At 40.6% G+C, this 16,525-nt stretch overlaps 1 protein-coding gene and 1 pseudogene across 5 annotated transcripts in view, besides 2 other annotated features; both read left to right on the forward strand.

Annotated features, from left to right (window-relative positions):
* Positions 1 to 16,525, forward strand: part of CRADD (CARD and death domain containing adaptor protein) — a 217,466-nt gene that overhangs the window by 143,436 nt on the left and 57,505 nt on the right. The gene's annotated exons all lie outside the window — the stretch shown is intronic.
* Positions 3,573 to 4,308: an enhancer, noted in NCBI's record as "OCT4-NANOG-H3K27ac hESC enhancer chr12:94218159-94218894 (GRCh37/hg19 assembly coordinates)". NCBI's record gives its function as "activates a minimal SCP1, AML or CMV promoter by ChIP-STARR-seq in primed H9 embryonic stem cells {active_cell/tissue: H9 hESC(primed)}" and the evidence as "EXISTENCE:reporter gene assay evidence [ECO:0000049][PMID:30033119]".
* Positions 3,823 to 4,117: an enhancer, noted in NCBI's record as "tiled region #9094; K562 Activating non-DNase unmatched - State 7:EnhWF". NCBI's record gives its function as "activates a minimal TATA promoter and a strong SV40 promoter by Sharpr-MPRA in K562 cells {active_cell/tissue: K562}" and the evidence as "EXISTENCE:reporter gene assay evidence [ECO:0000049][PMID:27701403]".
* RN7SL630P (RNA, 7SL, cytoplasmic 630, pseudogene) lies at positions 10,266 to 10,562 on the forward strand (annotated as a pseudogene).

Here is a 16,525-nt window from a genome sequence, read left to right on the forward strand (position 1 = left end):
TGGTTTCCCGTTGCCCCTGAGCTCCAGATCAAATCCCAGCTCTGTCCTGTCACCTGCAGTCCCACGCTGTGTCATTTCTGGCTGCATTATCAAATAGCCATTCATCAGGAAGGAGATTTTGCTGTAAAAACATGCTCTAGAGTAGATCATAGGATGTTAGCTCTTAAAGAGAGCTTAGAGACACTGCCTGATGCAGAGGCCAAAGACTGTGCCCCTGAGGGCTGTAGCCAGCTTGCAGACACATTTTGCATGGCTCACAGCATTTAAAAATCGTTTTAATTAGTTGACACTATTAAAACAGAGATTTTACCTAAAATATAGACCCATGGCTGCTCCTCAAAGATTAGCAGATGTGAAGACATTGGACCCTTCTTTCAGGGCGACAGTTGGTTGCTTCTGAGCTGCCACTGTCCCCTGAGATGGGGCATGCCTGCCCCAGTTCTCCCCAGCCCGCATAGCTCTGTGTTCTATACTCATTTATATTCCCTACCAGGCCCCTGTAGACATTGGCATTTTCAGCTCCTAAGCTCGTTCAACCTCTTCATTTTACAGGTTTGGAAGGTGAGACCAGAGAGCTGGCACATCGGTCTCTAGGTCATGTACTGGATCATGAAACATCTGATGGCTTCTGACTCCCAGTCCCCTAGTCCCTCTGTTGAACCATAGCTACCTCTCAGTGGAAAACTAAAAAGAAACACACCATGTAACTTGATTAATTATCCTTCCTGCTGTGACTGCTAGCCAACGTGCCTTTTAGTTGTTTTGCTTATATCTGTTGCCACATGAAAATTGGAACATATGGTCTGGAGGGCCAAGATGGTATTCTAAGAATATCTCATACCCTGCATGAAACTAGACCAAAGAAGAAAGGTAGAGAAACAGAGAGGATTGACAATGACAGGGAAAAGAAAATCTGGACAGCTTTTGAGAGGGGCACAGCCTCTTCCTTGTGGTGTTGCAGGACGGTAGGGAGTCAGTTGGGTTTCCACTCTTTAAGGGATGTGAACATCAAGATGTAGACAGCAGGCCAGGTGTGGTGGCTCATGCCTGTAATCCCAGCACTTTGCGAGGCCAAGGCAGGTGGATCATTTGAGGCCAAGAGTTCGAGACCAGCCTTGCCAACATGGTGAAACCCCATCTCTACTAAAAATACAAAAATTAGCCAGGTGTGGTGGTGGGCGCCTGCAATCCCAGCTATTTGGGAGGTTGAGGCACGAGAATTGCTTGAGCCTGGGAGGCAGAGGCTGCAGTGAGCCGAGATTGCGCCACTGCACTCCAGCCTGGGTGACAGAGGAAGACTCAGTCTCAAAAAAAAAAAAGATGTAGACAGCAATGAGTCAGTGGCACAAAAAGAATTGAAAGGCCTTTTCTTCTTTAGGCTTGATGCCCCATCCTACCCTGCCACTCCCTTAGAATTACTGTGGACAGCCAGAGCACTGCAAAAAAGGGAAATTTGTCATTTGCCTTGGGGAACAATGGCTTTCACCAATCAAGAGGCAAAATCAACCACAGTCTCAGAGCCTGGAGTAAGATGGAAAAATCTTCCTGTTGTCTTTAGAGGAGGAGGTTACATCATTTCTTACAGAAATGAGCCTTGACAACCCCCACATCCCGATACTGCATCCTCTTTGTACCACAGTGAATTGTTGCCATGAAGCTGAGACAAGGCTTGGTATGGGCAACTCCAGGCATGGGCAACTCCAGACCTCATCCTAGTGGTGATCCTGGGCTCCTTCTTCATAAGCAATAGAGAAGCAGACTGTTTGGGAGGAGGAAAAAGTAGTGATGGGACAAGTTCCCAAAAAGAGGCCATGGGAGGGAGTTCAGTGTTACATGCAGTCACCTTTTGGGTTTTGTCTCTATTGGATTATTCTGTTTTTTGTTTCTCATTGGAGTCTAGAAATGTTTAATGATACTTGATGGTACTTCCTTTATCCATGTAAAAGTATATCTAAGAACTTCTGCATATATTAACACTCTGTAATGATTAAGCCAATGTAATTAGAGTATTGTATCAGCAAGAGAAATATTTTTCTCTAGACATAGATAAATCAAATTTTTTCTTTCAAATCTCTGTGCAATTGCTCCAAAATGGAAATCAGTTTTATGATTTCATGGATTGTCATCTCCTTACAACAGCAGACTAATGAACATGATGATTTATGCAAACAAAATATACTCATTTAAGAATATGCTCGCATTGGCCGGGCACGGTGGCTCATGCCTGTAATCCCAGCACTTTGGGAGGCCAAGGCAGGAGGATCACCAGGTCAGGAGTTCGAGACTAGCCTGGTCAACATGGTGAAACCATGTCTCTACTGAAAATACAAAATTAGCCTGGCGTGGTGGCAGGTGCCTGTAATCCTAGCTACTCAGGAGGCTGAAACAGGAGAATCGCTTGAACCCAGGAGGTGGAAGTTGCAGTGAGCCAAGATTGTGCCAGTGCATTGCAGCCTAGGAAACAAGAGCGAAACTCTGTCTCAAAAACAAAAAAAAAAAAAAAGAAGAGGAAGAAGAATATGCTAGCATTGTTGATTTGGTTTATAGACTCCCAAAGGCCTGTTCCTCTGACCCTCTTAATGAATACACCAAAAGAGTGATTAATGGATTAATAAGTTAGCTCCATCCCCTTTCACTTCCTACCCTTAGACTAAAACAATTTTTTCAAATTACTTCTACTAATGTTGTACTTTCATTAATTGGTTGGATCAACAGGGTAGAAAGCTGTTTTCTTTTTCTTTTAAGAATTCTCTGCCACTAAGTTCTTCCAGCCAAAGAATGTTCATTCACTATAATACCTCTTCAGTTCAGGCATTTATTTACTTGAAGTGTGAATCCATTGCTGTTCTCATCGTGTCTAACTTTGTCTTTTTAGAAGTAAGGTATTTTTCCTTGCCTGTGGTTCACGCAGAAGTGGAGATAATGATTGTGTTGAGAATTCAGGGAGAGCCTGCAAGTAGGTAATAGAGGTGGGAAGTGGAGTGAGTAATAGTCAGAAGAGAAAGAAGCAAGGCTGTTGGAATGGAGAAGTCTAAAGAGACTGTACTAGAAGGAACTCGAATCATTAAAACCTAGCTGCACAGGCCGGGAAATTGTCAAATATCAGAGAGTCTACAGTTGAAGCAGCTTGGGAACAACTCTCTGCAGTAAAAATGCTGAGTTGTGGAGAACACAGTGACCCAAACTGACAAAATAATGAAATACATGGCGTTTCCCCAGTGAATGGAAAGCTGCTTTTTACCGTGTTCCAAAACACTGGCTCCGTTTGGTGTGTGTTTTGTTTTTATTTGTAATACCCTACTTTGATGTTTCCTGGAAACTCTCCTTTGAGTCTGTGAGTTTTGGTGTAAGCTCAGTGGCAATGTTACCCTCACCTCTAGGCTGCTGTAGGACACACCCCGGTCTCATTTTCAGTGTCTCAGCATACTTTCCAATGCTTCCAGTAATGGATTGTGCAAAACACAAAGCCAAAAGCAGATGGGACATATGTAGATAAGCTGTTTCATTTTTCATCCCTATAATTTCCTAGGTTTGATAGCACTTCAATTTTCTAACCATAAAAGCTGCTTCTGTGCTCTTTGGAAAACACACACACACTCATACACACACATACACACACACACACACACACTACCAGGAAGCAGGCTAAAAGAATATTACATGGGGTTTTTGTGTTGTTTTGCTTATTTCTTTCCTTTTAAAAGAAGTACCTTGCTGCTGGAAAAGAAGTCAAAAAATTGCTTTGAAGAGTATATTTACTAGAGTTCAGTTTACTTAGGGAACTGTCGTGTTAACACCGAAGAATGCATTAGAATGCATCATTCTATGATACATTATCCGAGCTGAAGCTGAAACCTAGCCTTCTGCCGAGTGGTATTCCTGAAGCCAGTCACTCTTAGAAGTGATAATGTTTATTTACCAGAACTTTAAATGCTGATTGTGGTGTCTGTGTCTCCTGCCCAGGGGGAATGGCCCTTCTGTCCATGGAATGTGATAGCCCAGCAGGAGGTAAAAGCTGCCCCTGGACAGAGTGAAGCATGCAGAGGGAGGCGGAGTGAATTACAGCTGTCTCTTTGGACCACCCGTCTTTTTGCCAATTAAATGTTTACATTATCTTTTTGCTCAGATAGTTTTCACAAGTATATATTCATTAATACATGGGGCTTGTTCCAAATCGATCATGAAAATAAGTTTTTGCTGTTGGTATTTTTTGTTAAAGTACATCTAACCCCAAAACTATTTGATGAGGGCAGTTTCCCTCAGGCTGTAAAATGAATTAAGGGAGCACTCTTCTCTGTAGTCATTTTCTTCCCGCGTTGGTTCTAGGCTCAATCATTTAGATGTCTCTGGTATCTGCATAGTCTGGGAATTATACTTGAACTAGCCCGAAATTACTGCCCAGTAATCCTCTTTCTCACTCAAGAGATTTGTCAACATTCATCTAACCAGAGACTTAGCAAGACATAGAGAATCATCTAGAAGAGCACTGACTCTGGAGCCAGAAAGACCTGGAGCCAGACAGGCTCTGTCACTTACTAGTCTGAGTGATTTGGGGCAAGTTATTCAGCTTCTCCAAATATTAGTGACCCCTTGGGAGAAGATGATGGTGATACCTATCTTGTGGCGATGGCTTTAAGAGTAAAAGTGTTTCCTTTGTTTTCCTTTCTCCTTGTTTTAAAATGATAGGAGGAGGGAGCACACTTATTTCAAAACTCTCTGAACTGGAAGGGGCTGTGTTGGAAACTGTTTCTAAGCTTGGAATGGAGCATGTGTCATATTTGTCATACAGCGGAGAGGGAAATGACTTCTCTTATTTCTCTTCTCTGTTATCCACCCAATAGCTAGGAGATAAAACATAGGGCTGGCTAAGCCTAGGAGAAGCACAGCAGTATTAGGCTATGAGAACCTATTTTGCTTAACCTCTTTCCGGCAAAAGGTGGAGCCACTGACACCAAAAAAGGGCAAGCAGGATGTCCAGTACCTCTCTCCCTAACTTTTCAGACCCTTTGATGCCACAGAGGAAGACAGGCATATCGGCAACATGGCCTCCTCCTTCCATCTCCCTGATGGTTTTGTCTTCCCCATTAATACAAGCACAGTTCCTTTTAAATGAACAAAAAGTGAGACAAATACATCCCTAGAATCTGACAAGTATTTTTGGAATTCTGTGCTTTTATTTTCTCTTCTACCTATAAAGTACATGAATGGCAGGGCTGAACTGTCTTCAGGAAAATCTGAAAGCCCGGAACTTATTAACATGCTTGACACCTGCCTCTATGAGGGACTTCTGAAGCCAGAGATATTCTTTGTAACTGAGGTCCATCTGTTGCACAGATTTTTAATTCAGATATTCTTCCTTCTCAAGCCAAGGCTGAGAGAGCAGCCAATTTTGTGGAAAGATTTCTTTAATAAGAAATGAATAAAACTATCAATGCTAAATAAAATAGACCGCTGTGAAACTTGGGTTAAATCCCACAGGGAAGAGTATGTGAGATTAACTGCATTATATAACAAAACCGCCTTTAATAGCTGGCACGATTCTTTTTGTTGTTCCAAGGGAGAAGCAGCCAAGACTAGAACCAAAGCACATGATATTATTTTAAAGTGCTGCAGCCTCTGGAATTTTTCCTCGGAGAGATGTCAGGATCCCAAGTCTTCCTGTGATTTATAGTTGTTTTAAACGTTTAATACTTTTTACATTTTCAAAGCTATATCCTCTGCTTCCAGCAGCCTAGGGGTGTGTTTCTGTTGCTTTGAAAGATGATTTCCAAATGGGAAGTTTTAAAACTGTGCAAAAAGGAGGTCTTACAGTACCGGGTGTTTGAGTGATTTTTAAATGGATGAAAGGGAGAAGGCTGTAAGGCAGGGCCCACGGAGTCTTTTTCTCAGCTCCTTATGATAACCCAACAGAGAAGTGGCTGGAGAGAACTTTCAGAGTATCACCATCTTCACACAGCAAACATCGCTGAACCAGACACTCCCAGACCTCAGCGAGCTCACTGTCAGGTATGGCTGGCAAGCAAGTGTTAGGTTGAGCCATGTGAAACTGCCATTGTTGTAGACCAGAAATGGTAGAATATTGGCAATTTCAAATGACTCAACCTAATAATTAGATGAAAACTATCCACAGTGATCAAGACTGTGATGGCCATCCTGCAGTATTCTGGGAGAGTCTAGGGAACAGGACCTAACCCAGTGAAGTGGGGCCAGGGACAAGAAGGGGACAAAATAAACCCAAAAAAACCCCCAGCTTTATTGAGGTATAATTGACATACAGTAAACTGCACAAGTTCTTAGTATGTAATTTGATGTTTCCACACACTTATACACCCATGAAACCATTGCCACAGTCAGAATGATGAACCTATCCAACACTCCTAAAAGTTTTCTCATGTCCCTCTATAATTCCTTCTTCCCATCACCCCCATCTCCAGGCAAACACGGATCTGCCTTCTGTCATTATGTGTTGGTTTCATTTCCTAGAATTTCACATAAATGGAGTTCTACAGCATTCTCTTTTGTCTGGCAACTTGCACTCCGCATAATTATTTTTAGATTTGTCCATGTTGAAGTGCATATTAATACTTTGTCCCTTTTTAATGTAGGACAGTATTTCATTTTGCAGATATGCCATAGTTTGTTTATGCATTCACTTGTCGACAGACATTTGTTTCGTCGGCTATTACAAATAAAGCTGCCGGGAACATTCATTTACAAGTCTTTGCATGGACATGGGCTTTCTTTTCTCTTTATTAAACACCTAGAAGTGAAATGGCTAGACTATATGGTAGATGTATGTTTAACGTGTTAAGTGACTACCAAATCATTTTCCAAAGTGTTTGTCCCATTTTATGATTCTATCAGCAGTGTATGAGAGTTCCGTTTCTTCCATATCTATGCCAACATTGTCTTCAGTCTTCTTTATTTTAACCAATTTTATTGTGGTAAGAACACTTAACATGAGATCTACACAATACAGTATTGTTAAGTATAGGTACAATGTTACAGATCCCTAGAAATTACTCATCTTGCATAAATGAAAGCATACCTGTTGAACAGCAACTCCTCATTTCCCCCTTCCCCCAGTAGTGGTTCCCTCCTGGCAACCACTATTCTCCGTTTCTATGAGTTTGACTATATTAGATACCTCAAATAAGTGGAATCATGTAGTATTTGTCTTTCTGTGACTGGCAAGCATTCTAATTTGAGTAGAGTGGTATTGCATTGTGATTTTAATTTACATTTCTCTAGTGAGTGATGTTGAGTGTCTTTTTAAGTATTTATTTGCCATCCATGTATCTTCTTAGCTGAAGTGTCTGTCCAAATCTTTGCCCATTTAAAAAATTGGGTTATTTTTGTTAAGCTTTGAGAATTATTTGTATATATATATGTATACAAGTCCTTTACAAGATATGATTTGCAAATATTTTTTCCTAGTCAGTGGTTTGTCTTTTAATTTTCTAAACAGTGTCTTTCAAATAGCAGAAGTTTTAAATTTTGATGACATCCAGCTTATCAATTTATTCTTTTATGGATCATGCTTTTAGTATGGTGCCATTTTAAAGAAGTCTTTGCCTAAGCTAAGCAAATAATTCATCTATGTTTTCTTCCAGACGTTCCATAGTTTTAGGTTTTCCATTTGGGTCTATGATCCATGTTGAATTAATTTTTGTGTATGATATGGGGTATGCCTTAAATTCTTGTGTATGTCTGCATGTGTGTATGCACATGTGTGCTTGTGCGTATGGAGAGTCAGTTGTTTTAGCATCACTTGTTGAAGAAACTATCCTTTCTCCATTGAACTGCCTTTGCACCTTTGTCAAAAGGTTTCCACATGGGTGTAAATCTATTTCTGAACTTTCTCCTGTTTTATTGATCTATTTGTCTACCTTTTCACTAATACCCACTGTCAATTTCTATAGCTTTAGGATGTCTTAAAATCAGGGAGTGTAATTATTCCAGCTGCATTCTTTTTCAAAATTATTTTGGCTCTTCTAAGGTCTTCACATTTCTTTATAAATTTTAGAATCAGCTTGTCAATTTCTATTTTTAAAAATATGTTTGGATTTTGATTGGAAGTCATTTTGATCGGGAGTGATTGAGCTTTCCAGGGGGATGTGTTCATGGGAGGAAACACATTTTTATATGTGAACAACTGGCATTTTAAGACCCATACAGCATTTAAAAAATTTTCCACAGCCTTGCTCCGAAGTTTATTGAAAACCCATCTGTGAAAAATAGTGTTATTTGATGCCAAAGGATACAAGGAAAAATAAAATGTTCTAATTCTGGTCCTTATTTCCTATGATTTCACCTTTTTTTTTTTTTTCAATGTCATTCCAGAGAGAGGAAAGACAGTTATCTCAGGCAGTCTTTTACCCCTGGGAAAAGACCACAGACACATGGGAGGGTTTGTGCTGCCTTGAGTGAAAAGAGTCTGTTTTGTTATGCTCTCCTTCCCCCAGCTGGCTGGAGGCTCATCCACCAAGCTTTAGACTATTATGCTGTGTAGGATTTTCTACCATTATCTGGTACAGGAGGCAGAAATCAAACCCCTATAAGGCTTGCAAGTTCCTGGACCCGGGAGATCAGCTCAGTGACTGGGCTTTCTCATGCGTGGTAGGAGAGTGGATGCTGGGGGTAGCCAGGATGAGGATGGCTCTGGTGAGCTGACAAGCAAAGCTACAAATCTGGAATTTTGTGAAACCTCTCAATTTTTAAATGCTCTTTCTGTAGTTTTTTGAACTGGACAGGCCAAATGAAACACATCTACGGGCCAAATTCAGTCCATTGCTACCACTGTGCAGCCTCTGATGGATGGGCTCTTTTATTTGCTTTTAGGGTCAGCTCTTTCATCAGCTCCCTAAAGTTTTGGTTTTTTGTTGTTGTTGTTGTTGTTTGAGATGGAGCCTCGCTGTGTCACCCAGGCTGGAGTGCAATGGCATGATCTTGGCTCACTGCAATGTCTGCCTCCCAGGTTCAAGCAATTCTCATGCCTCAGGCTCCTGAGTAGCTGGGATTACAGGTGCCCGCCACCACACCTGGCTGATTTTTTGTATTTTAGTAGAGAGGGGTTTTCACCATGTTGGCAGGGTGGTCCTGAACTCCTGACCTCAGGCAATCCGCCCACCTCGGCCTCCCAAAGTGCTAGGATTACAGGCATCAGCCACCACGCCCGGCGGTTATTTCAACAGTTGCTTATGGAGCACTCCTGATGTGCCAGGAAATGCTGGGTGCACAGGAAATTGACCAGTGGTGGGGAGAGCCTGCCACGGGTTCTAGAGGCTCCTGCTTCAATGTGGAGCTCAGGCGTGGCAGAGAGAGGCATCCCAGTGCCACCACCTACTCTCACCTGAATCTGCCCCTTCCTCGAATCTTCGCTGTCACTTATTTCAGGCCCTCCAAGAAGAGGATGGCTGATTTACGCTTGGAAGGCTCCCAGAAAGCTTCTTCGAAGAGATGACATGTGAGCTAATTATTGAATGTAGAGTAAGAATTAGCCAGCTGAATCTGCTCTAGAACAGTGTTGGTCAAACCTTGCTACCTGTTAGTGGAACATGAAATCAATTTAAAATAAAAGAAGGTAGCAGGTAGTGAAGGTAAGTATTTTTTGTTTTGTTAAACTTTTTTTCAGTCTCTCTCACACACACATGCACCTGCTTCTTTTAAAGGAAACTTTTAAAAGAAAATTTTGGTTAAACATATATAAAAACAGAATCTGGAAAACTGTTTGATTTTGAGAATGTTAACAAGGAGATTAAAAGAATATTTATTAAGGATAAGCCTATGTTATTTCTGCAGTCCTTTATAAATATGCCCCTTCACCTGCTTATTTGCAACACTAAGTAGGTACTGAACTAAGTAGGTACTGAATACTTGCTAGGATAATCATCTGCAAATCACTCTATTACTGACTGAGCTCCACAGTAATCATGAGACTAAGCAAGTGACTTTAATTCTCTTGACTTTATCTCCTTCATTGAAATAAGTGAGTTGGTCTAGAAAAGGTCGTGTTGAAGCCTAAGTTTCACAGAGATGCTTTAGACAATCTCCAAACAATTTACAGAAATAGCTAAATTTGCCCATTTCTGTATCGTTAGCACCTAAAATGTACTTGGCAATATAGCAGGCCTCAATTAATATTTGCTAAATCAATATGTCTGTCTTCAGGGTGCCATTGTATTTTATGTGAGATTGGGCATATTTGAATTCACTAATAAAATTCTTCACTGAATTCTCACTTTAGGCACAAAATTTGAAACATTGCCAGGCACATTAACCTGTGCCTGGAGTCCCAGCTAATCAGGAGGCTGAGGCAGGAGGGTCACCTGAGTCTAGGACTTCTGGGCTGTAGTGCACTATGCAGATGGGTGTCTGCACTAAGTTCGGCATCAATATGGTGACCTCCTGGGAGCAGGGTCCACCAGGTTGCCTAAGGAGGAGTGGACCACCCCAGGCCAGAAAAGGAGCAGGTCAAAACTCCTGTGCTGATCAGTAGTGGGATTGTACCTGTGAACAGCCACTGCACTCTGGCCTGGGCAACATAGCAAGACCATGTCTCTGAAGAATGAAATTTTTTAATAATTTTTTTTATTTGAAATATTGCAAATCCTAGAAAATTAAAAACATATCAAGAATCACACAATTTCAAAGCCAAATGGGATTCCCATCTGTGAATCTGCATGGCAGCACCTCCTGTGCTTCGTCAGGTTAGTTTTGCATTATGTGCAGCTGCACGGGGAATGCAGCTGCTACCCAAAATGCAACTGCTCCACAAGTGTTTTAAATTACTCTCTTAAACGATACTTCTTGGGATCTGCTTCCTACCAGACATTGTGCTAGGGGCTAGCTGTGAACAAGAAAGATACAGCTCTCATCTTCCTTTAACTCTTAGTTCACTGCGGTATATGCCACATGCTTTCATGCTGAGTTAATACCTGCTTGCAGGTTAGCGTCTTTGGGTAGACCCTGTGATCAGGCTTTGCCTGCATCTGTCTGTATCACATGCAGTCAGGTCACTGATTTGGAAGTGGTCTGTTTGATTGATGTGGATTCTGTGAGACAGTCATCTTCCTTGTTCCTGATTCCAAACTTGTGTGTTAATGGAACCAAGTTTGCTGTCAAGTTTTTGGTTGGTTTTGGGTTTTTTGCTAGGGTGATAGTGTATTTGCAGTCAGTGAAAACATCTGAACCTTTCCTTCTGAACAGCATTATAGCCAGGTTGAAAACATTGTATACATTTATGATTGATTTTTTTAACTTGATGATATCACATTTATCCCATGACAAATCTTGTTAGGATCATTCCATCAATCTAATGAAGTTATTTTGATTCTTAATATGTCAATCACCATATCACTGCCCCTTACAGCTTTGGGAAGACAGCAAATTTAAAAGCCTGCCTTCTCTCTCTCTTCCTAGGATGCTAATAAGAGAACTGAAAGTTTCATTTATAAGATTGTTGTTGAGTCACAGCTTTGAAGGATTTTGCTTGGTAAATTTGCGTGACATCCATACTTTTTTCATTTCTTTGGTCTTACTGCCAAGCCACTCAACACAGCTGAACTCCATGAAAGAAATATGCTTTTGATGCCTGAAGTCAGCTGCCTTCTTAGCGTTACTGATAATCTTACCCTTCTTCTAGGCAGGTTTGGCATTAATAAGGAAAACATAAGTCCATCAGAATTGTTATTTTATAGTTTATAATATGCAATTGAAGCTTCTTAATCTTTCTCTATACTCTTTATTACTTAGTAAACAGCAGCAAAGATAATATCAAGGAACCATAGGCCACCTTGTTTTCTTCAGCTTTAATATCTGTTTACATATTTATATATTTGATATTGAAGATGAAACTAAAGTTATAAGTATTTTTAAACAATTTTGAAAATTTTGGAGAACAATCATCAGTAGGAAATAATTACGTGATTAAGGAGTTCATTTTCCCTATTTAGAAAAGGGGGAAGACTGAAGAATGCAAAATATTATGTTCACATATACGACTTCTATATAAAGGAATCTTAAATGTCTTTTGCTAATAACCTGTGAAGAAGCAGTGTTGTCATTAATGTTGAACTTACAATAGTTATCTGAGCATTTTGGTAAACAGACAAGGCACTTGGAATTTTGTCTCTCAACATCTGTACTCTGCTTTTAACTTCAAAAGGTAGTTTTGAAGTACATGTAATTTTTGCCATCTGCCACTGAATTTGTGATTTAGAAATATTAGAAGCAGGGCCACATTATGACTTTCTTGGGCTGCAGGCTCTTTTGCCTTTGTGGCAAAACTTCTCATGACTTTATTGTGTTACACAAATGCTAAGTGTTCATTATAAGGAATCCAAGGGATGTAGAAAAGTAAAAAGAAACAAATCATAAATTCTATCATTTAAAAATAAGCCTCATTAATATTAAAGAAACGTTGTGTTAGATACCACCCTAAGCATGTTTGCAGATGGGAAGATAGATGGATGGAGAGATAGATATGCTTTCAAAGAAGAGTGATCATATGATACAGGCTAAGTTTTTATTTATATTTATTTTTTTGAGGTAGGGTCTCCCTGTGTCACTCAGGCTGGAGTGCAGTGGCACTCTCACAGCTCACTGCAGCCTCCACCTCTCAGGCCCAAGCAATCCTTCCACCCTGGCCTCCCAAGTAGCTGAGACCACAGGCATGCACTACCATGCCTGGCTAATTTTTTATTTTTATTTTTGTACAGATTGAGGGGTGTCCCTATGTTGCCCAGGCTAGTCTTGAACTCCTGAACTCAAGCGACCCTCCCCCCTTGGCCTTCCAAAGTGTATAGGCATGAGCCACTGCCTCAGCTATACACACTAATTTTTAAATGTAAAAACCATTACACTTAATTTTACCTGATTTTAACTGGAGAAAACTAAGTGAGAATTAAGGAATTACTGAACTTTGAACAAACATTTTTTCACATAAAAATGTTATTTTTTCCCCCTCTATGGTTAAGTAAAGAGATAAGAACTTGCTGGTTTTCATTTTGTGTTTTTTTTTCCAATTATGTTTTTGTGGTAGGCACTGTTGCTGTTCACCCAGTTTTCTTCCTCTTCTGGGATATAGGAGAATCATATTTGCTCAGTCTCTTCAAGTTAGATGTGACCTTGTGGCTTGCTTTAGTCACACAACATGAGCAGAAACGACCATTATGGATGAATGCATTTAATTACCGGGTCTCCAGTCTCACCCTTTCTTCTATCACCTTGGTGAGCCTGGGTGCTCATGTTAATGTGGTGGGCGCATAAGATCAACACAGCACAGAGTGCAGAGCCGGCACGTGAAAGGCACAGCCCTTACCCCCATGGGCCTGCAGTGCAGGGAGTATGAGCATGAAATGAACTCTTGATCGGTTAGGTCACTGAGACTTGGGACTTGTTTTTAACCATAGATTACTTAGGTTATCCTGATGCTATCATTTTCATACTAGACAGTATGGACTTCCTTTCTGCCATGATAAATAAGGTCATTAAGAACTTTCACTCTTTTTCCTTCCTTCCTTCCCTTTAGATTTTAGTTAGTTACATTGCTGTTTTCACATAGTCAAGTATATAATATTTACATTCTATTCTATAATCTAGCTTTGATTTTGATTAGTTATGTTATTTTCATATAGTTGAAGTATATAATGTTATGTTCAGTTGTTTAAAATTAGTTTGGTTTTTTTCTTTTTTGAGACGGAGTTTCGCTTTTGTTACCCAGGCTGGACTGCAGTGGCACAATCTTAGCTCACCACAACCTCTACCTCCCAGGTTCAAGTGATTCTCCTGCTTCAGCCTCCCAAGTAGCTGGGACTACAGGCCTGCGCCACCACATCCGGCTAATTTTGTATTTTCAGTAGAGACGGGGTTTCTCCATGTTGGTCAGGCTAGTCTCAAGCTGCCCACCTCAGGTGATCCACCTGCCTCGGCCTCCCAAAGTGCTGGGATTACAGGCGTGAGCCACCATGCCCAGCCTAAAATTAGTTTTATATTTAAATGAATTCAGTGCCCAGTACTAATCTTTTTCCTATGGCTTTCCTGGTACTGATATTGAGGAACAGATCAAGGGGCTTAGTGGAGACTGCCTGGCAGAGGGGAGGGGTATTTTATCATTTGCATTGTTTAGAATTGCCTGCACATGGTGATGTGAAAAACAGACAGACTTTTAATGGTTTTGTTACTAATTTAAAATTCTCTATAAACACTGCATCCTTTATTGCCTGCATCTGAAGCAAACCATTTTCACTGGCCCCCCCATTGGTATGCACTGCTGATAGCTTTATTTTATGCATTGCACTGACTAGATTGTCAAGACTTTTCAAGGAGGGCTCCTGAACGATGAATTTTTTAGTTTTTTTTCATGTTCAAGAATATCTGATGATTACCTTACCTTTATACTTCAATATCATCCCTAGGAGTAATATTTATGCACTATACTTTATTCCCCTTAGAATTTTGGAGGAATTGTTTCTTTATCTTTTGCATTTAAAATACTTTTGAAAACAATGACTGACTTTCCCCTCATTGTAGGCAACTTGGCTTGTTCTGCTTGAAGAATTATTTCTTGGAACTGGAAATTTAATTATTGAACCAGGGTACATGTTTCAGTTAATTGTTTCATATTCATTTTTTGTAAAAACGAAGTATGCTCTTTTGACTTAGAGCTCTGTTGCTTGCTCATTTTAGGGATATTTTCTTGTATTGGATCTTTAAACACTTTGGCCTGGGTTCTCTACTTCAGGAATACTCATTAATCTTTCTGATGGATTATATTTTTTCTCCTCTATGTCTATCATTTTTCTCTGTAAGTTTTGCCTTTTATCTTGATGACCTGAAGGCTTCCTAGGATATAAATAATTTTGAGCCATGTTAATTCTATTCCTTGGTGTTTCTCACTTATTAGTTTATTCCTTGGAGATTGTAGATTTTTGGTTTTGGCCCATTTTCTTCCACATAATGCTCTATTTTTAATTCATGTGTTACTCTGATATGTTACTCACTTGCCATGCTGTTTCATTCCATCTTGCATATGTTTGGGTGACTGTGGCCTTTGGGGCTCTGATCCACTGGGGTGATTTCTCCTTGACACCCTTCTGACCCCTGTGTATTACCCCTTGAGGACCAGGTATTTCCTGTCCTGTTCACTTTTCTTCAGGCTATAGGCACATGTAAGCAAAAGAGCAGGGCAGGAAAGTGAGCTCACCAAGTTGTTTACGCGTAGGCCACCCTATAATGCCTGTGCTGTGCAATCTCTCCTGAGAACATGCAGAATGTCTTCTCATTCTGCCAGGGACAGTTAGTTCTCGTTGTCCACATTTTTTATCTCCTGTCGCTTCATGTAGCAGTTACCATCTCCACTCTGCTGAAATTAGAGGAGAAAAAAATGTAAGAAACCCACTTAATTTTTTCCTCTTTAGATTTGGGGATAGTAGAGTGAATCTCTTAGAGTTGAGTTTGGGTGAATAATTGATAGAGCTTCAGGAAGGTAGGAATTGGAAAGTGGCTCTGCCATCTTTTTTGATGGGCTTCATTTTTATTTTATTACCTTTTCTTCATTCCCTTAGGTGTTAGGGGATGGAGACTCTGGGGTCAGGCCTCACTCTGCCATATTTACCCAGAAGCCTTCTTGGGGCTTGCCTGTCTTTCTCTTTTCAAATGAAACATGGATGTGGGAAAGGGGAGTTCATTGTAGCCCAGTTTGGCATAAAAAGAGGTAACAGCCCACATCTAACCTTGACAATATTTTACCATTATGGAGTTTCCTCTCTTTTTAATTTTCTGTTCACCCTCAGATTATGCAATGTAATTTCTCTGGTTTTAAATACAAAGTAAATTAAAAGTAGAAGCACTTGGTAATACTGTAGCTATAGAGAATAAAGCTAAGTGAGTATGTTATCATTGTAATGAATCATTCCTTTTCATTCATTCACTCATCCAGCAAATATGTAGTGAGTGCCTACTATGTGCAAGGCACTACCCTGGGTGCCTGGAGTACATCACTGAGCAGGATGGACAAAGCTCCCCTGCCTGCGAGACACTTACATTCCAGCAGGCATGAGTGTGTAGGGTTGGGGGCAGGCAGCGACAGTAAATACAGCACATCTATAAAATATATCACACGTTACAAGGTGATTTATGGACAAAGGGAATGACAGTGGAATGGGAGTTGCAGTTTGGAATAGGGCAGTCAGGGCAGCTGCCCTGAGAAGTTATATTTGGTGAAGGGGTCAGTGAAAGAGTGTCCCAGGGAAAGGGAACAGCTCGTGCAAGGCTCTCTGGTTCGCAGCTGGCTGCTGTGTTCAAGGAACCGGATGAATGACAAATTGGTGGAGCTGTGTCTGGTCCATGTGAGAGAAATGAATGGCCCAGCAAACTGTAACATTAATTGTTTTTACTGTTTTGAAAATTTACTGTACCAGATATTCATTTCACGTTTTTGTTTGTTTGTTTGTTTGTTTGTTTTTGTTTTTTTTTTTAGAGGGAGTCTCGCTGTGTCGCGCAGACTGGAGTGCAGTGGTGCGAT

The sequence above is a fragment of the Homo sapiens genome, chromosome 12 (genome assembly GCF_000001405.40).
Source record: "Homo sapiens chromosome 12, GRCh38.p14 Primary Assembly".
In the NCBI taxonomy this organism is placed as follows: domain Eukaryota; kingdom Metazoa; phylum Chordata; class Mammalia; order Primates; family Hominidae; genus Homo; species Homo sapiens.